Here is a 25,715-nt window from a genome sequence, read left to right on the forward strand (position 1 = left end):
GAGACGGGGTTTCACCGTGTTGGTCAGGCTGGTCTTGAACTCCTGACCTCTTAATCCACCCACCTTCGCCTCCCAAAGTGCTGGGATTACAGGCGTGAGCCACCGCGCCCAGCCTATTTCACGTTTTAAATTAGAACACTTACTTGCATATATCTGTAGAATCCTGAGTTCCTAAAGCATATAATGAAGAACCAATTCTATTGTAATCATCTGCAGCACCTATGGAGAAAGTTTTAAGAATTTAGTATACCTATTCATAGATTTAAAAATACTTACTGAGCAATTACCTCTCAAACAATGTGTAATATGAGACACTCTAGTAAAGAAAATAACGCAAGCAACAGGCATGGTGGCTCATGCCTGTAATCCCAACACTTTGGGAGGCTGGGGCAGGCAGATCACCTGAGGTCAGGAGTTTTGAGACCAGCTGGGCCAACATGGTGAAATCCCATCTCTATCAAAAATAAAAAAATCAGCCAGGTGTGGTTGCACATGCCTGTAATCCCAGCTACTCGGGAGGCTGAGGCAGGAGAATCATCTGAACCCAGGACACAGAGGTTGCAGTGAGCCAAGATCACGCCACCGCACTCCAGCCTGGGTGACAGAGCAAGACTCCGTCTCAAACAAAAAAACAAATTGGAGGTCGGGCGCAGTAGCTCATGCCTGTAATCCCAGCACTTTGGGAGGCCGTGGCAGGTGGATCATGAGGTCAGGAGATTAGGATCATCCTGGCTAACACGGTAAAACCCCGTCTCTACTAAAAATACAAAATATTAGCCGGGCATGGTAGTGGGCACCTGTAGTCCCAGCTACTGGAAAGGCTGAGGCAGGAGAATGGCGTGAACCCGGGAGGCGGAGGTTGCAGTGAGCCGAGATCACACCACTGCACTCCAGCCTGGGCAACAGAGCAAGACTCTGTCTCAAAAAAAAAAAAAAAAAAAAAAAAACAACTGGAAAATAAGAAGTATAACTTTCTTCATTAATAGACGTGACATGATCATCTATGTAAAAATCCTAAGGAATCTACAAAATAATTACTAGAACTAATAAGTGAGTTTATTTAGCAAGGTTGCAGGATATAAGATCAATATTGAAAAAAATATGCTGTGTTTCTATGTATTAGCAAAGAACAATTTGAAATTGAAATTTTAAAAAACATAACATGGCCGGGCACGGTGGCTCATGCCTGTAATCCCAGCACTTTGGGAGGCCAAGGCGGGCAGATCATGAGGTTAGGAGATTGAGACCATCCTGGCTAACACGGTGAAACCCCATCTCTACTAAAAATACAAAAGAATTAGCCGAGTGTGGTGGCAGGCACCTGTAGTCCTAGCTACTCGGGAAGCTGTGGCAGGAGAATGGCGTGAACCCGGGAGGTGGAGGTTGCAGTGAGCCAAGATCGTGCCACTGCACTCCAGCCTGGGCGACAGAGCAAGACTCCATCTCAAAAAAAAAAAAAAAAAAAAAAAAAAAAGGGCATCTAAGATTTTGGAGACAAAAATCCTGGGCGATAGAGCTAGACTCCATCTCAAAACAAACAAACAAACAAAATTTATTTATTTGGAGACAGGGTCTCACTCTGTTGCTCAGGCATGAGCACGGTGGCATGATCACGGCTCACTGCAGTCTCAAGCTCCTGGGCTCAAGTGATTCTCCCACCTCAGCCTCCCAAGTAGCTGGGACCACAGGCACATGCCACCACGGTTGGCTAATTTTTTTTTTTTTTTTTTTTTGGCGGGGGAGGGATAAGGCCTGACTCTGCCACCCAGGCTGGAGTGCAGTGGTGGGGTCTTGGCTCACTGCAACCTCCACCACCCGGGTTCAAGTGATTCTCGTGCCTCAGCCTCTCAAGTAGCTGGGACTACAGGGGCATGCCACCATGCCCAGCTAATTTTTGTATTTTTAGTAGAGATGGGGTTTCTTTTTTTTTTTTCTTTTTGAGACAGAGTCTCACTCTGTCACCCAGGCTGGAGTGCAGTGGCACAATCTCAGCTCACTGCAAGCTCTGCATCCCAGGTTCACATCATTCTCCTGCCTCAGCCTCTTGAGTAGCTGGGATTACAGGCGCCCGCCACCACGCCCAGCTAATTTTTTGTATTTTTAGTAGAGACAGGGTTTCACCGTGCTAGCCAGGATGGTATCGATCTCTTGACCTTGTGATCGGCCCGCCTTAGCTTCCCAAAGTGCTGGGATTACAGGTGTGAGTCACTGCGCCCAGCCAGAGATGTGGTTTCATCATGTGGGCGAGGCTGACCTCGAACTCCTGACTTAATGTGATCCCCTTGCCTCAGCATCCCAAAATGCTGGGATTACAGGCATGAGCCAACATACCCGGCCTATTTTTTGCAAAGATTGGGTTTCACCATGTTGCCCAGGCTGGTCTCGAACTCCTGAGCTCAAGCGATCCACCCACCTCAGCCTCCTAAAGTGCTGGAATTACAGGTTTGAGTCACTGTCTCCAGCCTAATAAAACATAAAACTTATAATAGCATAAAAAACCAAATAATCAGGAACCAATCTGACTAAAGATGTATAAGATCTATACAATGAAAACTACAAAACACTGCTGAGATAAATTAACGAAGACCTGAGTCAGTGGAAATATGCTATATTAATGTATCAGAAGGATCAATATTGTTAAGATGCCAGTTCTCTCCAAATTAATCTATAGAATCTACACAATCCCAATCAAAATCCCAGCAGGCCCTTGTGTTGAAAAAGACAGCTGATTCTAAAATTCATATGAAAATATAAAGATTTTAGGGCTGAGGGCAGTGGTTCACACCTGTAATCGCTCCCTCCTTTGGGAGGCTGAGGCAGGTCGATCACATGAGGTCAAGAGTTCAAGACCAGCCTGGCCAACATGGCAAAACTCTGTCTCTACTAAAAATGCAAAAATTAGCCAGGTGTGGTAGCATGCATCTGTAGTCCCAGCTGCTCGGGAGGCTGAGGCACGAGGATTGCCTGAACCTGTGAGGCGGAGGTTGCAGTGAGCCAAGATCACGTCACTGCACTCCAGCCTCCAGTCTTGGTGACAGAGTGAGATTCTGTATCAATAAAAGGAAAAAGAAAATATAAAGATTCTAGGGCTGAGGGCGGTGGCTCACGCCTGTAATCCCAGCACTTTGGGGGCCGAGGTGGGCAGATCACCTGAGGTCAGGAGTTTGAGACCAGCCTGGCCAACATGGTGAAACCCCATCTCTACTAAAAATACAAAAATTAGCCAGGCTTGGTGGTATGTGCCTGTAATCCCAGCTACTCATGAGGCTGAGGCAGAACTGCTTGAACCCAGCAGGTGCAGGTTGCAGTGAGCTGAGATCACGCCACTCACTCCAGCCTGGGCAACAGAATGAGACTCTGTCTCACAAAAACAAAAACACAAAACAAAACAAAAAACAAAGAAAACATAAAGATTCTAAGAAGGGTCAAAAACAACTGTGATAAATAATAAAGTTGGGATTGGGCACAGTGGCTCACGCCTGTAATCCCAGCACTTTGGGAGGCTGAGGTGGGCGGATCACTTCAAACCTGGAGTTCGAGACCAGCCTGGGCAATATGGCAAAACCCCATCTCTAAAAAAAAATACAAAAGATAGCCAGGCATGGTGACACACACCTGTAATCCTATGGGGAAGGTCGAGGCATGAGAATCACTTGAACCCACGAGACGGGGGTGGGGCAGTGAGCCAAGATTGTGCCACTGCCCTCCAGCCTGGATAGACAGAGAGAGACTCTGTCTAGGGAAAAAAAAAAATGGAGTCTGGTGGCTCATGTCAGCCCTTTGGGAGGCCAAGGTGAGAGGACTGCTTGAGTCCAGGAGTTCAAGACCAACCCAAGCAACATAGCAAGACCCTGTCTCTACCCCCTCAGCAGCAACAACAAAAATTAGCCACGCATGGTGGCGCATGCCTGTGGTCCCAGCTACTTGGCAGGCTGAAGTGGAAGGATCGATTGAGGATGCAGTGAGCCATGTTTGCACCAATACACTCATCCTGGGTGACAGAGCGAGACCCTGTCTCAACAACAACAACAAAAAACAACAACAACAAGAATAAAGCTGGGGCCAGGAGCAGTGGCTCATGCCTGTAATCCCAGCACTTTGGGAGGCTGAGGTGGGCAGATTACGAGGTGAGGAGATTGAAACCATCCTGGCTAACACAGTGAAACCCTGTCACTACTAAAAATACAAAAAATTAGCCGGGCGTGGTGGCGGGCACCTGTAGTCCCAGGTTCTCGGGAGGCTGAGGCAGGAGAATGGCGTAAACCCAGGAGGTGGAGCTTGCAGTGAGCCAAGATTCCGCCACTGCACTCCAGCAGCCTGGGCGACAGAGCAAGACTTCGTCTCAAAAAAAAAAAAAAAGAATAAAGCTGAAGGAAGAAGGACACAAGAAAAGATGTTGAACCTCAACAGTCATTAGGACAATACAAATCTAAACCACACTGAGTTACCACCACTGACCTACTTGAATAAAGTTAAAAAGACTTCAAATTCCACTGGGGAAAAAAAAAAGACTGACTATCCTTGTTGGCAAAGATGTGGAGCAACTGGAACTCTCATGCCCTGCTCGTGGGAATGCAAAATGGTACAACCATTGTGGAAAAAAAAATTGGTAGTTTCTTAAAAAGTTAAATATTCATTTACCACATGACTCAGGCATTCTACTTCTAGGTATTACCCAAGAGAAAGAAAGCATGTCCGTACAAAAAGTTATATAGAAATGGCTCACATAAATTGTATCTGTAATAGCCAAAGCTAGAAATAAATAATTGTTGTATATCCATTCAATGGAACACTACTTAGCAACAAAAAGAAATGAACTATCGATATACACAACAACTTGGATGAATCTCAAAATAGTTTTTTGAGTTTCAAAGCCAGACAATAAAGAATACATACTGTATGATTCAATTTATATAAAATACTAAAAAATACAAACTAATCTATAGTGACAGAAAGCAGATCAGTGGCTGCCTGGGGATAGGGCAGGAGGGAGAGATTTCAAAGGGCCACAAGAAAACTTTGGGGGTGATGTGTGTGTTCATTATTTTGATTGTGGTAAGGATTTCACACATGCCAAAACTTACCAAATTGTACACTTTGATTACTGCAGCTTACTGATATCAATTACACTCAACAAAGCTGTTAAAAAAAAAACCCTCACTGGTCTATTTTGCACTTTGAGTGGTTCTTTTACATATATGATTTTGTAGCATTATGCACTTGGCCGTTTAGAAAACATTGGTCCAATGAATTATGCAGATGTTCTAAGTGGTGACACAATTCAATGTACAATTTTTTAAAAAATCACATTCACTAGTATCATCATCAATCTCTATATGGGTCTTTATTGGTCTATCTAGCCGGGCACGGTGGCAGGCGCCTGTAATCCCAGCTACTTGGGAGGCTGAGGCAGGAGAATTGCTTGAACCTGGCAATGGCAGTGGCAGAGGCTGCAGTGAGACGAGATCGTACCATTGCACTCCAGCCTGGGCAACAGAGACTCCGCCTCAAAAAAAAAAATTGCAAGTGCATGGCAGGAAAGAACATACAGACTACCAGTCCAGTATCTATTGGGAAGTAAGCTCATGGTCAGAGAGATAAAGTTTTCCAAAATTCGAATTATTGCTTGAAGCTTGACTTATCATTGGCAACAAATACTACCTTTGTTTTCCTTGAAATAACTGATGGATTTTTGGCCAGGTTCCTCTAATTTAAATAATTAGTTGATTTTTGAGAAAACATTTGCCAAATATTCATAAACAGTTTATCAGTCATTCTCTAAAGTAAAAGTAGTGTTCTACGAAAAAATTAGCTAGTTCAATCACAACTCTATCACTAAAATGCTTTTCTAGAGAACCATCATACTTGAGTATGTAGCCAAAGTGCTTTATGCATACCTCCTATTTCATCACTCAGAATATTTAAAAATGTATACCCAAGGGTAGAGATTACAATCAATTTTTACTGTTTCATCAAGGGCATTCTTAAGTGAAAGTCACATGTCTTAAAAATTGCAAGTGGCCAGGTGCGGTGGCTCACGCCTGTAATCCCTGCACTTTGGAAGGCCAAGGCGGGTGGATCATGAGGTCAGGAGTTCAAGACCATCCTGGCCAAGACTGTGAAACCCCATCTCTACTAAAAATACAAAAATTAGCCAGGCGCGGTGGCAGGTGCCTGTAATCCCAGCTACTTGGGAGGCTGAGGCAGGAGAACTGCTTGAACTTGGGCGGCTGAGGTTGTTGCAGTGAGCTGAGATTGCACCGCTGCACTCCAGCCTGGGCGATAGAGACTCTGTCTCAAAGAAAAAAAAAAGAGCAAGTGCATGGCCGGAAAGAATATAGAGACTACTCGTCCAGTTTGTTGCCACTGACTTGATTTGTATGTAATTACGCAGCAGCAACTTTATCCATCATCGGTGTAAATGTCAACATGGTGAAAAAGGCAAAAACTATCACAGTATCATTATAAAAATAGTTGTTGTTTTGTTGCTGTCTAGACAGTCTCACTCTGTCACCCAGACTGAAGTATGGTGGTACGATCCATCACAGCTCACTGCAGCCTCAACCTCCCAGGCCCAAGGCATCCTCCCACCTTAGCTTTCCTAGTAGCTGGGACCACAGCCATGCGGCACCACGTCTGGCTAATTTTATTTTTTATATCAGGCTGGTGCAATACAAACAGGATCTTACTCTGTTGCTCAGGCTGGTCTTGAATTCCTGGGCTCAAGTGATATTCCCGCTTCAGCCTCCAAAAGTGTCGTGATCACAGGCGTGAGCCACTGTGCCCAGCTGAAAATAGTTTTGACCTCACAGGCTCACTATAAAAGGGCCATGGAGCCTAGGCTCCAACAGACCAGTTTGAGAACTACTGCTCTATATTAAGACTTTTTCAAACTATAATATGAACTTTATAATTATTCCATTAAAAGATATAAGCTTTAGCCACAGAAAAATCTTACTTTTGTGGGATCTTGTCATTCTATCAGATTTAGCAGATGCATCCTTAACTCGGTTATGATACTCCAAAAGAAATGTTCGTTCGTGCTCAAAGAAATCATCTACATCCTATAAGATCAAAAGAAAATATAAACTTTTTTCACTTATTTGCTTTAGTTTTATATGTAAATAACTATCATTATAAATATAAAAGATCATCAGTAAAATAGCATACCTATCCTCAGTCAGATGTTATTATACTAATTTCACCAACAAGACTTTAATAGACATGCATTTCTATCTATCAAGTAAGAAATCTTCTATGACTTTGCAACTGAAGGCTTAGTGCTCCCCATATAGGTCCAAGTTCACGTGCTGTACTCTTTTTTTTTTTTTGAGATGGAGTCTCACTCTGTCACCTAGGCTGGAGTGCAGTGGCGTGATCTTGGTTCACTGCAACCTCTGCCTCCCGGGTTCAAGCGATTCTCCTGCCTCAGCGTCCCAATAGCTGGGACTACAGGTGCACACCACCACACCCAGCTAATTTCTTTTCTTTTTTTTTTTTTTTTTAGGCAAAGTCTCGCTCTGTCACCAGGCTGGAGTGCAGTGGCGCGATCTTGGCTCACTGCAACCTCAGCCTCCTGGGTTCAAGTGATTCTCCTGCCTCAGCCTCCTGAGTAGCTGAGACTACAGGCAAGCGCCACCACGCCCAGCTAATTTTTTTTTTTTTGTATTTTTAGTAGAGACAGGGTTTCACCACATTGGTCATGCTGGTCTCGAACTCCTCACCTCATGATCCGCCCACCTCGGCCTCCCAAAGTGCTGGAATTACAGATGTGACCCACCACGCCCAGCCTAATTTTTGTATTTTTTTAGTAGAGACAGGGTTTCGCCATGTTGGCCAGGCTGGTCTCAAGTTTCTGACCTCAAGTGATCCGCGCGCCTCGGCCTCCCAACGTGCTAAAGTGCTGGGATTACAGGCATGAGCCACCGCACTTGGCCTCACATATTGTACTCTGAAACATGTTCTTATTTGTGATCTGCCTCTACAATTTTGCTCTTCAATAAACATATTATTGCCAGCAGAAGTGATCAATTCCTTTTAAGGAAAAAGAAAACAGTTCTGGTGGACAGAAGTGAAAATCTATTTTTCTTGGCCTGTTATACATTCTACTGGCCATTCCTGAAGGCTGCCTAGCCTTAGTCATTAAGGCCCTTTCTGACTGCACTGAGGAACCTGACCAAACTATCTGAGAGCAACAATGTGATTAACCACTGTCTTCAACCTTTTTTTTTTTTTTGAAACAAAGCTAGATATACATTAAAAATAAAAATTATTATTATTATCTTCAGACAGAGTCTTGCTTTGTAATCCAGGCTGGACTGCAGTGGTGCAAACATGGCTCACTGCAGCCTCAACCTCCCTGGCTCAAGCAATCCTCCTGATTCAGCATCCCAAGTAGCTGGGACTACAGGCGCATGCCACAACGCCAAGCTAATTTTTGTATTTTTTATAGAGACAGGGTTTTGTCATGTTGTCATGTTGCCCAGGCTGGTCTTAAACTCCTGAGTTCAAGTGACCCACCTGCCTCAGCCTCCCAAAGTGTTAGGATTACAGGAGTGAGCCACTGCACCTGGCACAAAAATAAAATTAATAGTATTTTACCCCCTTCTACATTACCAATCATTAAATGAAAAAGCATCTGCTGACAGGATATAATTGGAGACCCATATCAACAGAACACAAGCAGCAAGAGTCAGTACTGACAAAATGTGACTGAAATCTGTAATTCAGCTGGATACAGTGGCTCACACCTGTAATCCCAGCACTTTGGGGAGGCCGAGGTGGGCAGATCACTTGAGCCCAGGAGTTCAGCCTGGGCAACATGGCAAAACTCTGTCTCTACAAAAAATACAAAAATTAGCTGGGTGTGATGGCACGTACCTATAGTTCCAGCTACTTGGGAGGTTGAAGTGGGAGGATCGCCTGAGCCTGGGAGGCAGAGGTTGCAGTGAGCCGAGATTGGGGCACTGCACAGCAGCCTAAGGCAACAGAGCAAGACCCTGTCTCAAAATGCAAAATAAAATAAAAAATAAATATTAAAATAAAATTCATAATTCATAATATGTAACAGTTCCCTCTCTCTCTTTCGCCCAAGCTGGAGTGCAATGGCACAATCTTGGCTCACTGCAACCTCTGCCTCCGGGGTTCAGGCAATTCTCCTGCCTCAAAAGCCTCCCGAGTAGCTGGGATTACAGCCACGTGCCACCATGCCTGGCTAATTTTGTATTTTTAGTAGAGACAGGGTTTCTCCATGTTGGTCAGGCTGGTCTCAAACTCTTGACCTCAGGTGATCTGCCTGCCTTGGCCTCCCAAAGTGCTAGGATTATAGGCGTGAGCCACTGTGCCCGGCCACAGTTTTCTTAATTGTAAAAATATGGATAAAACTAACTGGCAGGGTTATTAAGATCACACAAGAAAATGTGGGCTACCAATCAACACATTATAAGTGTTCAAAAATGTTATTATTCTATTAATAAAATTATCAAAATTATAATCAACATAGTGGTTTACATTTAATGGCTAAGAAAAATGGTTGATATTAATGCATAAGCAGCATCAAATGGAAGTAAGCTGAGTGCTTCTTGGAAAGCAGCCACAGCACATGCACTGTCAAGTATCCACTGACCTGTCTCTGAAAAATCAGAGTATAAATCAAATAGTACTCTACACACCGATTTTATTATGGATGTGTCTATAAAAACAGGCAATGATGACAAAGCAGCATTCTTTTTTTTCCTAGTATTTGCTTGATAATATAAACATTTTTCTCATATTTTAATGGTAAGAATCTTCAGATAAATCAACTCTTATACCATTTTTAGAACATCATTAAGAAAAGTATAGGTGTTTTCGGCCGGGCGCGGTGGCTCACGCCTGTAATCCCAGCACTTTGGGAGGCCAAGGTGGGCGGATCACGAGGTCAGGAGATGGAGACCATCTTGGCTAACATGGTGAAACCCCATCTGTACTAAAAATACAAAAAAATTAGCTGGGCGTGATGGCGGGCACCTGTAGTCCCAGCTACTCCGGAGGCTGAGGCAGAATGGTGTGAACCCAGGAGGCGGAGTTTGCAGTAGCCCAAGATCGCGCCACCGCACTCCAGCCTGGGCGAAAGAGTGAGATTCTGTCTCCAAAAAAAAAAAAGAAAAAAGAAAAATATAGGTGTTTTCCACACATATTATCTCATTCAATCTTTTTAATAAGTAAGTAAGGTGGGTGGTATTATTAACCCTATTTTGAAAATGGAAAATCTGGCTGGGCGCAGTGGTTCACACCTGTAATCCCAGCACTTTGGGAGGCCGAGGCAGACAGATCACGAGGTCAAGAGTTCGAGACCAGCCTGGCCAACATGGTGAAACCCCGTTTCTACTAAAAATACAAAAATTAGCCAGGCGTGGTGGCATGTGCCTGTAATCCCAGCTACTCAGGAGGCTGAGGCAGGAGAATTGCTTGAACCTGGGAGGCGGAGGTTGCAGTGAGCCGAGATTATGCCACTGCACTCCAGCCTGGGCAACAAAGCAAGACTCTATCTCAGGAAAAAAAAAAAAGAGAGAGAGAGAAAATGGAAAAGCTGAGATCCAGAAAAAGAAAAGAAAGTAACTTTTCCCAAGGACAACAGAGACAGGTTCTCACTGTCGCCCAGGCTGGAGTGCAGTGGCAAAATCTCAGCTCACGGCAACCTCCGCCTCCTAGGTTCCTCAGCCTCCCGAGTAGCTGGGATTACAGGCACGCAGGACTACCACCCAGCTAATTTTTGCATTTTTAGTAGAGACGGGGTTTCACCATGTTGACCAGGTTGGTCTCGAAAACTCCTGACCTCAAATGATCCACCCACCTTGGCCTCCCAAAGTGCTGGGATTACAGGCATGGGCCACCTTGCCCGGCCTCAACTGAGATCTTCTAACTCCAAAGCTGAACCTAGGTCTGCCCCTAACATTTCCAAGGCTAAATGTTAAATGTAAAAACAGAAGCAGTACCTCTTGGTAAACTCTGCAGCTCTGTCTGTCCTGCATCTAGGAGGACTTCATGTGCATGTGGGTGGACATTCCACATTGCACACTGTCCCTCCCCTCCACCCACCTGCCCCATGGTAACCCCTTAACCACTCATGGAATACACGTGAATGGCATGAACTCAGGAAGTTGCCCATATAGGAACTGCAAGGCTTGGGATTTGGGTAGGGAGACAGCGGATTCTAGAAACCTGGAACCTGGTCTGATGTGAAGGGAAGGGGTGTGGGCTTCAGTTGGGCAAATTCCCTTGGCTTAAGACTTCTCATCCGTTGCAGAAGGGAACGCTCTAAAGAGAGGAATCTAGGTCAGGAGGATTCCTCCTGTTCCTAGGACTGAAGATTCTAACCGTCCAAATGTCTTTTACTCTAATTCTGCACATTTGAAATCTCAATCTATCTCCCTTTTAAAAGAAGTCTCAACTAATACCACAGTTAATCAAATAAAATCTTACCTTTACTCCTGAAACGATTACTCCATCTGCTGATTTAACCATGTTTTTAAAGAAGTCTTCAAGTTTCTCTTTTTTATTTTTTCCTCGCACACTCAACTGAAAGAAAGGTAATTTAACATTTTTAAGGTTACAAATGGAAAGCAGTGCCTCCTTTATTCTTTGATATTTAAATGGCAATCTCAAAAGGATCCTAGTTTTTAATCTTAATAAAGTGGAAATTTCATCATGCACATCAATGATTTTCAAATTTTAGGGCATAAAAAAGGAGTTTGGTAATAATATAGATATTCAGGACTCACTCTCAAAGATTCAGGTTCAGCTGGTCTACAAGAAGGCCTAGATATTTCACATTTTATGAGCATATCTGATAATTCTGTTGCAAGCAGCCCTCTCACCATATTTTGTCAAACACTGCTATATAAAATTTTAACAGACAATTAAAATTTTAGCTCGGGAGTTCCTTTAAACATGTGAAATTTATTGGGGCACAATATACCACTGTATGATTCCGCAATAACTCTGAATATATATCCTATACATTTGGAACTCTGAACTCATCCAAGTATCTCATCTGGCTTTTGGGGTCAGCAATTAATAGCACAAGGGACACAAAAAAGATGACTTTGAACAAATGAATGGTTATCCAAGGGCAAAACCAACAAGCAGCAGCTAACTCTTTGACTCCTAGCACTTGCTGTATCAGGGTGCCCCATAAAGGAGCAATTCATCTAATTCCCATGTACTTCCATTGCTTCAATGCTCACCTTTATGTAAATGACTCACAGATCTCTATCACTACCTGCTATGGTCTGAATGTATGTGTCCCCCTAAAGTTCACAGGATGAAAAAAATTTTTTTTGAGACACTGTCTCCCTCTGTCATCCAAGGCTGAAGTGCAGTGGCGTGATCTTGGCTCACTGCAACATCTGCCTTCTGGGTTCAAGTAATTTTCCTGCCTCAGCCTCCCGAGTAGCTGGGACCACAGGCATGTACCATCATGCCCAACTATTTTTAATAGAGATGGGATTTCACTGTGTTGGTCAGAGTGGTCTTGAACTCCTGACCTCAGGTGATCCAACCACCTTGGCCTCCCAAAGTGCTGGGATTACAGGCATGAGCCATCACGACTGGCCCATATCTTGAAGCTTAACCCCCAAGGTAATCATAATTAAGAAGAGGTGGGCCTGAGCCAGGCACAGTGGCTCCTGCTTGGAGTCCCAGCTACTTGGGAGGCTGAGGTGGGAGGATCATTTGACGCCAGGAGTTTGAGGCTGCAATGTGCTACAACTGCACCTGTGAATAGCCACTGCATTTCAGCCTGGGCAATACAGCAAGACTCTGTCTCTTAAAAATAGGTGGGGCTTTTGAGAAGTGATTAGGTCATGAGGGTAGAGCCTTCATAAATGGGATTAGTCCTTATAAAAGAGGCTGAGGGAATGTTACCCTCTTGCCCCTTCCTTCTGCTATGTGAGGACACAACAAAAAGGGCCACCTATGAAGCAGAGGGCCCTCACCAGACACGCAATCTGCTAGCACCCTGATCTTGGGCTTCCCATTCTCCAGAACTGTAAATGATAAATTCTGTTGTTTATAAATTACCCAGTCTAAGGTATTTTGTTATAGCAGCCAAACAGACTAGAATACTACCCATAAGCTCTTTCCTTAACTTTATATGTTATATCCAATTGCCCACATCATTTCCTTACACAGAGACTGTAACTGTAACCTCACATTAGATGAGTCTAACACAGTGCTCATTATAATCTAATCTCTGGGCTGGGCACGGTGGCTCACGCCTGTAATCCCAGCACTTTGTGAGGCCAAGGCGGGTGAATCACCTGAGGTCAGGAGTTCAAAACTAGCCTTGAAGAACATGGTGAAATCCTGTCTCTACTAAAAATACTAAAACTAGCTGGGCGTCGTGGCATCCGCCTATAATCCCAGCTACTAGGGAGACTGAGGCAAGAGAATCTTTTGAACCCAGGAGGCAGAGGTTGCCATGAGCCAATATCACGCCATTGCATTCCAGCCTGGACAACAAGAGCGAAACTCTGTCTAAAAAAAAAAAAAAAAAATTAGCCGGGCATGGTGAAATGTGCCTGTAATCCCAGCTACTCGGGAGGCTGAGGCTGGAGAATCGCTTGCACCTGGGAGGCAGAGGTTGCACTGAGCGGAGATCACACCACTGTACTCCAGCCCGGGCAACAGAGCAAGACTCTGTCTCAAAAAAAAAAAAAAAAAATCTGATCTCCAAAATTTCTGTCTTCCCTCTTTTGATCTGTGGCCCCTTCATCCAAACAGTCTTTCTGACTCCGACATGTTCCCTAAAATTCCATAGTTCTCATTAAAATCTTGAAATTTTTATAACTTCTTCCTTTCTTCATAGCTCAAATTCTAACAGCAAATGACTTAAAACTGTCCCTTTCCACTCCTACTCTCCAGTAAAAGTCTTCATCATCTCTTTCCTAGACTGAAGTATTAGTTAATAATTCTTATCTTATTCCAATCCATTCTGTTGCCTGGGACAGCTTTCTAAAATCAAATTTTGAGCATCTCATTCTTACTCAAAAATTTTAGTTTCTTTTCTCTTTTTTCTCTTTTGAGACAGAATATCACTCTGTCACCCATGCTGTGGCACAATCTCAGCTCACTGCAGCCTCCGCCTCCCACATTCAAGTGATTCTCATGTCTCAGCCTCCCAAGTAGCTGGGATTACAGGCAAGCGCCACCACGTCCAGCTTATGTTTGCGTTTTTAGTAGAGACAGGGGTTTCACCATGTTGCCCAGGCTGGTCTTGAACTACTGGCCTCAAGTGAATACCTTGCCTTGGCCTCCCAAGTGTTGGGATTACAGGAATGAGCCACCGCACCCGGCATTTTTCTTTCTTCTTCTTCTTTTTTTTTTTTTTAAAAAGAGACAGGTCTCACTATGTTGCCCAGGCTGGTCTCGAACTCCTTGGCTCAAGCAATCCTCCTGCCTCAGGCTCCCAAAGTACTGGGATTAAAGGTGTGACTTACTACAACTGGCCCAAATTCTTTGATCTTGAGGTTAACCTGTACATGAGCACTATGCTATATTTATTTTCTGCAAAAATTATGAATTAATCTTGTCATCCAAACACAGGTTCCAAGATTTGTATCAGTCATTCAGTAAAAAATTTTTTGCCAGCACTATGAACGAAGAAATCTTTAAAGTGCAATCACCTCGGCCAGGCATGGTGGCTCACACCTGTAATCCCAGCACCTTGGGAGGCCGACGCAGGCAGATCACCTGAGGTCAGGAGTTCGAGACCAGCCTGACCAATATGGTGAAACCCTGTCTCTATTAAAATATAAGAATTAGCCAGGTATGGTGGCTACTCGGGAGGTGGAGGCAGAGGAGTCGCTTGAACCTGGGAAGCAGAGGTTGTACTGAGTCGATACAGTGCCATTGCACTCCAGCCTGGGCGACAGAGACTCTGCCTCAAAAAAAAAAAAAGAGAGTTTTTAGGCAGGGAAGGAAAAAATAAGGAGTGATCAGCACCAATGGTCAGTTAAACAGATCCAGAGTCAATAATTTACCCGAATCTGGAATTCTTTAGCTCAATCACCTCCTTGGAATTCTCCACAAGGCTTCGGAAGACTCCAAACTCAAATTTAAGAAACATTAGTCAATGTGATAACCCTATTTCTTTTTTTTTTTTTTTTTTTTTTTTGAGACGGAGTCTCGCTTTGTCACCCAGGCTGGAATGCAGTGGCGCAACCTTGGCTCACTGCAACCTCCGCCTCCCGGGGTCAAGCGATTCTCTTGCCTCAGTCTCCCGAGTAGCTGGGACTACAGGCATGCGCCACCAAGCCCAGCTAATTTTTGTATTTTAAGTAGAGACGGGGTTTCACCATATTGGCCAGGCTGGTCTCAAACTCCTGACCTCGTGATCCGCCCACCTCGGCCTCCCAAAGTGCTGGATTATAGGCTGAGCCACCGTGCCTGGCTCCTACTTCTTAAGAGGTTTGCAATTAAGGATTACAAAAAAAATCAGTGTCCCTTGTAGTAACATGATTTATTTTTTATTTTTATTTTTTGAGATGGGAATTTCAGTCTTGTCCCCCAGGCTGGAGTGCAATGGCACCATCTTGGCTCTCTGCAACCTCCGCCTCCCAGGTTCAAGTGATTCTCCTGTCTTAGCCTCCCGAGTAGCTGGGATTACAGGCGCCCACCACCATGCCCAGATAATTTTTGTATTTTTAGTACAGATGGGGTTTCACCATGTTGGCCAGGCTCGTCTCGAACTCCTGACCTCAGGTGATCTGCCCGGCTTGGCCTCCCAAAGTGCTGGGATTACAGGTTACAGGCATGAGCCACCATGCCTGGCTAGTAACATGCTTAACTATCATTCTGTCAATTAATCTACTCAAGTTCTACTGAAATAACTGCATTACTACTGAAAAAGTGTCACTTAAACTACCTTGAAAAATACAAACAGGCCAGGTGCGGCTCACGCCTCTAATCCCAGCACTTTGGGAGGCTGAGGCAGGTGGATCACCTGAGGTCAGGAGTTCGAGACCAGCCTGGCCAACATGGTGAAACTCCATCTCTACTAAAAATACAAAAATTAGGCCGGGCGCAGTGGCTCATGCATGTAATCCCAGCACTTTGGGAGGCTAAGGTGGGAGGATCACCTGAGGCTGGGAGTTTGAGACCAGCCTGACCAACATGGAGAAACCCCGTCTCTACTAAAAATACAAAAATTATCTTGGCATGGTGGCGCATTCCTGTAATCCCAGCTACTTGAGAGTCTGAGGCAGAAGAATTGCTTGAACCAAGGAGGCAGAGGTTGTGGGTGAGCTGAGATCGCACCGTTGCACTCCAGCTTGGGAAACAAGAGCGAAACTGTCTTAAAAAAAAAAAAAAAATTAGCTGGGCATGGCGGCATGCGCCTGTAGTCCCAGCTACTTGGGAGGCTGAGGCACGAGAATCACTTGAACTTGGGAGGAGGAGGTCACAGTGAGCCAAGATTGCGCCACGGCACTTCAGCCTGGACGACAGAGCAAGACTCTGTCTCAAAAAAAAAAAAAAAAAGAAAAATACAAACATTCTAAAAAAAGACCTTGAGCCTTTTCTAACTACTCTTGCCTTTTCCAATGACTCTTTAAAAAGAGAACTTGGGGCCGGGCACGGTGGCTTATGCCTGTAATCCCAGCACTTTGGGAGGCTGAGGTGGGTGGATCACGAGGTCAGGAGATCGAGACCATCCTGGCTAACACAGTGAAACCCCGTCTCTACTAAAAATACAAAAAATTAGCAGGGCATAGTGGCGGGCGCCTGTAGTCCCAGCTACTCGGGAGGCTGAGGCAGGAGAATGGCATGAACCCGGGAGGCGGAGCTTGCAGTGAGCTGAGATGACGCCACTGCACTCCAGCCTGGCTGACAGAGCGAGACTCCGTCTCAAAAAAAAAAAAAAAACTTGGGCTGGGCGCTATGGCTCACGCCTGTAATCCTAGCACTTTGGGAGGCCGAGGTGGGTGGATCATGAGGTCAGGAGATCGAGACCATTCTGGCTAACACGGTGAAACACCATCTTTACTTCAAAATAGAAAAAATTAGCTGGGCGTGGTGGCAGGCGCCTGTAGTCCCAGCTACTAGGGAGGCTGAGGCAGGAGAATGGCATGAACCCGGGAGGCGGAGCTTGCAGTGAGCCAAGATCATGCCACTATGCCACTGTACTCCAGCCTGGAAGACAGAGCGAGATTCCGTCTCAAAAAAAAAAAGAAGAAGAAGAAGAAAAAGAAAACTTGACCACCAATCAATGTGATACTCACATCTTGATTATATTCCAAGAAGACATGGAAATTTAAATCTCTTCTCAAAATAGGATGTGCTGCCACACGACACAGGAACACTTCATGCATCGCAACTGTCTTCTTGAATATTGCCAAATATTCACTAGAAACAATATACAAAATTAAAGGTAAAAAACTCCATCAACTAAAAAGTCACCTGCAACAATTTTTTTCAGAAAATACTCTTTGGATTATTCCGAATGCAAATCAGAGATACAAAGATATAATTCATGTAAACAAGGTTTTTAGTTGAACTGTTAATGAAATACATAAAACCCAGCTTTGAAAAAGGTTTCATGCCAGTTAATAATATTTATATCTAAATGTTAATATTTTTAAGTTTTACAAATTTTTCTTACTTATGCGAGTTGATGTTAAAGTTAACTATAGGGCTGCTTGTTCTCAGCTCTACAGGAAGTGTGCTACAAATTATTTGATAGAATCTTAATGATTCAATATCCAATGACTGCTTTTAAACAACTTAGTACAAAAAAAATTAAAACCCAAACCTCGGTGAGCATATTTTCAACGTTAATAATTATTTTCATCTAATTACCCAAACACACAAGAAACACACTATGAAGAAACTAATTTTTTTTGCCATTACACCAAAGAAATGTGTTTAAAATATTTTAATACCAGCAGTGAATCCCAGAGACCACAAAGTAATACATGTCAGTTTGGGGGAAAAAAAAAAAAAAACATTCAAGGAAAAGGCTTGATATTCTTGCTTCAACTACGTGCAAGAAGGATAAGTTTTACATACCAGCAAACCAGCAGGACCAATGATGGGAGAAGTTTGATCTCTGTGAGGGTAGTCATTCAGTGAAGACAAAAAAGAAGGATGCAGAGGATGGAGGTAGCAGTAGAATAAACCCAAGGTTCTCTGTTATCCAACCCCTAACCAGACCACAAAAGAATCATGATCAGGGCCACTGGAAAATCACAGATTCTTCGATATTAATGTGCTCTGCTCATTTCCAATTTTCAGTCTTATAAACTTTGAATATATATCTGTCTGCTATCAGACCGCTGCTTGCAACTAAGACCTGCTTTGCTGATTTATCTTTTCAAGAGTTTAGCATCCTGAAGAGAAGTATAGTAGCAGTGTGAATATATAACTAAAAACTAAAACTAGTGGAAGAAGAGAAGAGGAAATGCATGAAGGGGAGAAATGACCAGAAAAAGTGACAGAGGTGATAACTAAGGAAAATTATTTCCTTGTACAACTCTCAAAATAGAGAAACATATCCAGCAAATCCAAAATTACTCCAAATGTTTAACAAAAGGGGAAAGATTCTGTGTTTTCAGCAAATACACTAAAAACGAAATATGGGTTGAGTATCCCTACCCGAAAATCTGAAATCCAAAGTACTCCAAAATCTGAAATTTTTTAAATAAAGACATGATGCTCAAAGGAAATATTCATCAGAACATTTCAGATTTCAGATTAGGGATGCTCAACCAGTAAGTATAATGCAAATACTCCAAAAAAAAAAAATTAAAATCCAAAATGCACTCCCAGGGATTCTGCATAAGTGATACTCAACCTGTACATAATTTCCCTTTCTTCTTTTCTCTGCCTGTGGCTTCTGCCCAAAGGGAAAAGAATACAGAAGCAAAGTAACTAAAGAATAGTTAAAAACTGTTTTTCATTAAATGACTATTAGTTTCATATATACTAGAAATGTATTAGTTTCTTGAAAAAACTGTGATAATTCACACTACATACATACGCAGTTTTTAAGAAAACAGAATATATGCAGTTGCTCAGTACATTCTCTTTTGAGAAGTATGGCAATATGCCCACATTGAAAAAAGAGAACTAGGTTGGTAGTGACTAAGGCTTTGTAAATAGAAAAAAAAAAACAATGACTATTCTACTTTAAAAAGTCATGTTCTCTATTTCTTTTTCCCCTTAAGTCCAAAGACAGACTGGACCTTTTACCTTTTTAAAAGAAGCTTTTGGATCTTCCATTTTCAACTTTCAGGGTCTATTTCAAATATGAATTTAAATAACTTTACAGTGGAAACAATTATTCTATAATTTTCCTGTAGGCTCTGATCATGATCATTAATACTGGTTGTATGACTTAAACCTGCATCTTCCAGAAAGGGTTTAATGATGGGATATCAGAAAACACCAAAAAAGGCATTAAAGCAAGCACAATTAACAAAGGCAACAACAACCAAAAAAAAAAAACAAAAAAATAAAAAAATCACTTACGCTTCCAGTTCCTGTTTCATCTTTGTGAATTCTTCCTTCGTCATTGACCCTTCTCCTTCACCAAGCTTCTGTAGTTTTTCCCTTGAAGCATCAAAATCAGGTCTTGGTGGTGCTGGTGGAATCTGTAACAGGACCAAATGACTAATTTTAAGGAAATTTTCATTTCTTGAAGCATTGTACTACTGCCACCATAGAAGACTGTGTCTGGGAAAGCTAAGGGGATCCAGAATGAGCTGAACACCAGGAACACCCAAATTCAGATTGGAGAACTTGACTAGTTGTAGAAATTAAGTTTTGGCCAGGCGCAATGGCTCACGCCTGTAATCCCAGCACTTTGGGAGGCTGAGGTGGGCGGATCACCTGAGGTCAGGAGTTCAAGACCAGCCTGGCCAACATGATAAAATCCCGTCTCTACCAAAAATACAAAAATTAGCTGGCCCTGGTGGCAGGCACCTGTAATCCCAGCGACTCGGGAGGCTGAGGCATGAGAATCGCTTGAACCTGGGAGTCGGAGGTTGCAGTGAGCCAAAATCGCACCGCTGCACTCCAGCCTGGGTGATAGAGGAAGACCCTGTCTCCAAAAAAAAAAAGTTATCTAATCTTTTTTTTTTTTTTTTTGGAGACGGTGTCTTGCTCTGTTTCCCAGGCTGGAGTAGCTGGGATTATAAGCGCACGACACCACGCCCAACTAATTTTTGTATTTTTGGTAGAGACGGGGTTTCGCCATGTTGGCCAGGCTGGTCTTGAACTCCTGGCCTCAGGTGATCCACCCACTTCAGGCTCCTAAAGTGCTGGGATTACAGGCATGAGCCACTGCACCTGGGCTAGTTAACCTCTTAAAGACACTTCCAACTCTTCTTTTTTTTTTTTTGGGGGGATGGAGTTTTGCTCTTGTTGCCCAACCTGGACTGCAATGGCGTAATCTCAGCTCACCACAACCTCTGCCTCCTGGGTTCAAGTGATTCTCCTGCCTCCGCCTCCCGAGTAGCTGGGATTACAGGCATGTGCCACCATGCCTGGCTAATTTTGTATTTTTAGTAGAGATGCGGTTTCTCCATGTTGGTCAGGTTGGTCTCAAACTCCTGACCTCAGATGATCCACCCGCCTCGGCCTCCCAGCCACAGGCGTCAGCCACCGTGGCCGGCCGAGACTTCCAACTCTTAAGTATCTGTCCAACTATGGTTTTTTCTTTTTCTTTTTTGAGATGGAGGCTCGCTCTGTCACACAGGCTGGAGTGCAGTGGTGGGACCTTGACTCACTGCAACCTCTGCCTCCCAGGTTCAAGCAATTCTGCCTCAGCCTTCCAAGTATCTGGGATTACAGGCACCAGCCACAACGCCCAGCTAATTTTTAAAAATATTTTTAGTAGAGACGAGGTTTTACCATCTTGGCCAGGCTGGTCTTGAACTCCTGACCTCATGATCCACCCGCCTCGGCCTCCCAAAGTGCTGGGATTACAGGCATGAGCTACCGTGCCCAGCCCCAACCATGGTTTTAAAACCAGTATGGTTTGTCACATCTCCTTAATCCCTAGGACAAGCCCATTTCAATTCTAACAAATGGTAAGAAATTAAGTTTAAATGAGGGAATGTAACATACCCCACATCCCCTAAGAAAACACTTCAGGATAAAAGGTGGTAACGAAACATGTTTCATAACTGACAATTTAAAAAAACATATCAGGCTGAGTGCGGCGTTTCATAACTGACAATTTAAAAAAACATATCAGGCTGAGTGTGGCAGCTCATGCCTGTAATCCCAGAACTTTGGGAGGCCGAGGCAGGGGGAATCACCTGAGGTCAGGAGTTCGAGACCAGCCTGGCCAACATGGCGAAATCCCGTCTCTACTTAAAAAACAAAAAAAATTAGCCGGGCATGGTGGTGGGTGCCTGTAATCCCAGCGACTCAAGTGACTGAGGCAGGGGAATCGCCTGAATCCAGGAGGCAGAGGTTACAGTGAACAAAGATCAGGCCATTGCATTCCAGCCTGAGCAACACAAGTGAGACTCTGTCTCTAAAAAACATAACAGGGCCGGGCACGGTGGCTCACGCCTGTAATCTCAGCACTTTGGGAGGCCAAGGTGGGTGAATCATCTGAGGTTAAGAGTTCAAGACCAGCCTGGCCAACATGGTGAAACCCTGTCTCTACTAAAAATGCAAAAATTAGCTGGGTGTGTTGGTGCATTATTGTAATCCCAGCTACTTGGGAGGCTGAGGCAGGAGAACTGCTTGAACCCAGGAGGCAGAGGTTGCAGTGAGCCGAGACTGCGTCACTACACTCCAGCCTGGGCAACAGAGTGAGACTCCATCTCAAAAACAAAACAAAACAAAACAAAAAAACAGTTCACAAAAAATGCTAAACAAGATTCCAAAACATAACGAAGTACCTAAAACCTCCTAGAAAATGGAATTAAAATGGAGTCTCAATACTTACGATATAACCTGCATAGTCTTCATTTTCAACAAAGGAATCATGAAGCCAGATAAATTCCTCATGTTGCCGAACAACTGAAAACTCGTTTTGTTTAAAATTTGGCAATGAACTCTGTAAAGATAGAGATTTTCTTGAATAAAAATCAAATTTACACTAAAAAGTTTTTTGAAACTGGGTCTTGCTCTGCCACCAGGCTGGAGTGCAGTCGAACAATCTCGGCTCACTGCAGCCTCAACCTCCCAGGCTCAAGCAATCCTCCCACCTCAGCCTCCGAGTAGCTGGGACTACACCACACCTGGCTAATTTTATTTTTTGTAAAGATGAGGTCTCACTAAGATGCCCAGGCTGGTCTTGAACTCTTGGACTCAAGCGATCATCCTGCCTCGGCCTCCCAAAGTGTTGGGATTACAGGTATGAGCCACTGTGTCTGGCCTTAAAAAGTTTTTAATAAATATTTTCTATCATTTAAAAAAATTCATCTTATTTCAAGACCATTAGTGTCCTTTAAGTCTACCATAAAACTCTGAGCTATATGGACAAGATTATCTTCGGATTGTTGGGAAAGTAAGTTGACAGGCTTATTATATTGTACTGCTACAGTTACTTAAAAGTTATGTCATTAATATATATCAAACTCAACTATTCAAACAAAGGAAAGAAATCTGCAATCTGAAAATGTGCTCAAGAACTGAAATCTAATAAAAATAATAATTTGTGGCTGGGCACGGTGGCTCACGCCTGTAATCCTAGCACTTTGGAAGGCCGAGGTGGGTTGGATCACTTGAGGTCAGGAGTTCGAGACCACCCTGATCAATAAGGTGAAACCCATCTCTACTAAAAATACAAAAATTAGCCGGGCGTGGTGGCTTGTGCCTGTAGTCCCAGCTACTTAGGAGGCTGAGACAGGAGAACTGCTTGAACCCAGGAGGCAGAGGTTGCAGTGAGTGAGCCAGGATCATGCCACTGCACTCCAGCCTGGATGACAGAGACTCCGTCTCAAAAAAAATAGTAATAATAATTATTTGTAAGACAGTAATTTGACTAACAGAAAGAACAATGAAATTGAAAGTAACAAGAATGGTAAAAGATACTAATAAAAATTTGGAAAAAAATTAAATTTGCCTTCTGTCTAGGTTCTGATTCTCAGAATATTAATCTAAAAAAAGTACATTTTGGCTGGGCGCGGTGGCTCACGCCTGTAATCCCAGCACTTTGGGCGGATAACAAGGTTGGAGATCGAGACCATCCTGGCTTACACAGTGAAACCCCGTCTCTACTAAAAAAAGAAAAAAATACAAAAAATTAGCCGGACATGGTGGTGGACGCCTGTAGTCCCAGCTACTCTGGAGGCTGAGGCAGGAGAATGGCGTGAACCCAGGAGGAGGAGCTTGCAGTGAGCCGAGATCGTGCCACTGCACTCCAGCCTGGGCGACAGAGCAAGACTCCGTCTCAAAAAAAAAAAAAAAAAAAAAAAAGTACATTTTCCTACATCTATTTTTGTTAAAATAGTTTCTTTCCAATTATGTTTAAAACCCAAGTCTGGTCAACATATCACATATGTAGTATAATAAATGGCTAAAATAATAGAAAGTACAAAATCACATTTACCTTTGTGTGAACAGTGAATTTTACTTTATCCCGCTCACTAAGAGCATCAGAAATGTCCACCTGCAGAGCAGCATCACTTTGAAGATCTACATTTATTGCTTTAAGCTAGAAAAAGAAAACCAGTATCTTCATGAAAATCATGTTTTATATAATTTCATTTTTTCTCTTAAGACAATGCAAAAACAAAACAAAAATAACAAAAGATTATTAAGTCTAAAGAGGTACTCATGTCCATTTAACATACATACTATATACATTTTGAAGCAGCTGCTTTGGGCAACGCTATTACCTTAATTCTATAGTATTCAATTCTAGAATTTTCATTTTATAGTATTCAACTATATTCTGCTTTGTGTAAGTCACTGAGTTAATCATGATTTATTATAGTTTAGTTACAGTTTATTTCAAAAAGAAAACTCTTTTCAGCCAGATGTGATGGCTCATGTCTATAATCCCAGCACTTTAGGAGGCTGAAGCGGGAGGACTGACTGAGCCCAGGAATTCAAGACCACCCTGGGAAACATAACAAGACCCTGTCTCTACAGAAATTGAAAAAAAAAAAAGAAAAGAAAATAGCCAGATATGGTGGTGCACACCTGTGGTCTCAGTACACAGGAGGCTGAGGCAGAAGGCTTGCTTGAGCCTAGGTCAAGGCTACAGTAAGCAGTAATCGTGCCACTGAACTCCAGCCTGGATGACAGAGCAAAACCGTCTCAAAAAAAAAAAAAAAAAAAAACTTCTTCCAAAAAAAAAAACAAAACCCTATTTTCCAAGAAAGTGGTCCATCTAAGTTCAAGTGCTCTAAAATTAAGGAATGTGTCTGCCTTGAAGCACAATAATAAGAAGACTATCAAGCAACAATTTTAACTCCTGCCTCTCTATATTCAGGAATATACAATGAAACTATCAAATATAATTAAACATATTAATGTAAAGTGCTAAGAAAAATACTAACATACAGTAAGTACTCAATAAGTAACTCCATAAACTACATTTGAAGAAATAAATATATTTCCTATTTAGTGCTTCTACTTTCTCATCTATAAGAAGACTCTTCTACTTATTAATTTTTAAACTTCATCTGTTTTTCTTACTCTTTAAACAATAAATAACTTGTTTGGGTAATTTTGAGACTTAGGAAAGAGTCAAAACACTCAAAGTCTTAGCCAGCTGCAAAGACATGAAATAGACTGTTTCAAAGACAGTACTCTAGTTGTAAAACCTAGGACTTAGAGAATCTCACCTGGTCATTAGTATCTCAAATTTTAATTATATTGTAAATGAACAAAATGCTGAATGCAAATACAAAATTGTTTACTCAATGATTTCAAATATATATACGTGTGTGTGTGTGTATATATATATATAATTCTATTTTTTGTTTTTGAGACAGGGTCTCAAAACCAGGTTGGAGTGCAGTGCTCTGTTCACTACAACCTCTGCCTCCCAGGTTCAAGTGATTCTCCCACCTCAGCCTCCTGAGTAGCTGGGATTATAGTCGTGCGCCCCCACATCCAGCTATTTTTGTAGTTTTTGGTAGAGAAGGGGTTTTGCCATGTTGGCCAGGCTGGTCTTGAACTCCTGACCTCAAGTGATCCGCCCACCTTGGCATTCGAATTGCTTGAGCTCAGGAATCTGAGACTAGCCTGGCCAACACGGCAAAACCCCATCTCTACAAAAAATACAAAAATTAGCCGGGCACATGTTGTACACCTGTAGTCCCAGCTACTTGGGAGGCTGAGGTGTGGGGAATGGCTTGAGCCCAAGAGGTGGAGGTTGCAGTGAGCTGAAATCATGCCACTTCACTCCAGCCTGGGCAATAGAGCCAAACCCTGTCTCAAAAAGAAAAAAAAAAAGGGGGGGAGGCCGGGTGTGGTGGCTCACACCTATAATCCCAGCACTTTGGCAGGCCGAGGCAGGTGGATCATGAGGTCAAGAGATTGAGACCATACTGGTCAACATGGTGAAACCCCATCTCTACTAAAAATACCAAAATTAGCTGGGCATAGTGGCGCACACCTGTAGTCCCAGCTACTTGGGAGGCGGAGGTTGCGCTGAGCAGAGATTGTGCCACTACACTCCAGCCTGACAAAACAGTAAGACACTGTCTCAAAAAAAAAAAAAAAAAAAGAGAAATCTGTTCCCTTTTTTCTTTTTTGGAGAC

The 25,715-nt window shown here is 43.1% G+C and overlaps 1 protein-coding gene across 6 annotated transcripts in view; it reads right to left on the reverse strand.

Moving 5' to 3' along the window:
* SNX6 (sorting nexin 6) overlaps positions 1–25,715 on the reverse strand; it is a 69,056-nt gene that overhangs the window by 24,994 nt on the left and 18,347 nt on the right. For 4 of the 6 annotated variants that reach the window (NR_159357.1, NM_152233.4, NM_021249.5 and 1 more), the window contains 7 exons: positions 23,552–23,656; positions 21,944–22,054; positions 19,510–19,631; positions 17,262–17,385; positions 11,464–11,559; positions 6,959–7,064; positions 144–219 (listed from right to left, as the gene is read on the reverse strand). Coding sequence is in view for 4 of the 6 variants with exons in the window: in NM_152233.4 (NP_689419.3) it covers positions 144–219; positions 6,959–7,064; positions 11,464–11,559; positions 17,262–17,385; positions 19,510–19,631; positions 21,944–22,054; positions 23,552–23,656 (740 nt within the window). In the remaining 2 variants the exon portion in view is untranslated. The remainder of the gene's footprint in view (positions 1–143; positions 220–6,958; positions 7,065–11,463; positions 11,560–17,261; positions 17,386–19,509; positions 19,632–21,943; positions 22,055–23,551; positions 23,657–25,715) is intronic. The other 2 variants (NR_159358.1, NM_001366519.1) reach the window with 1 other exon arrangement.

This window comes from Homo sapiens, chromosome 14 (genome assembly GCF_000001405.40).
Source record: "Homo sapiens chromosome 14, GRCh38.p14 Primary Assembly".
NCBI classification, from domain to species: domain Eukaryota; kingdom Metazoa; phylum Chordata; class Mammalia; order Primates; family Hominidae; genus Homo; species Homo sapiens.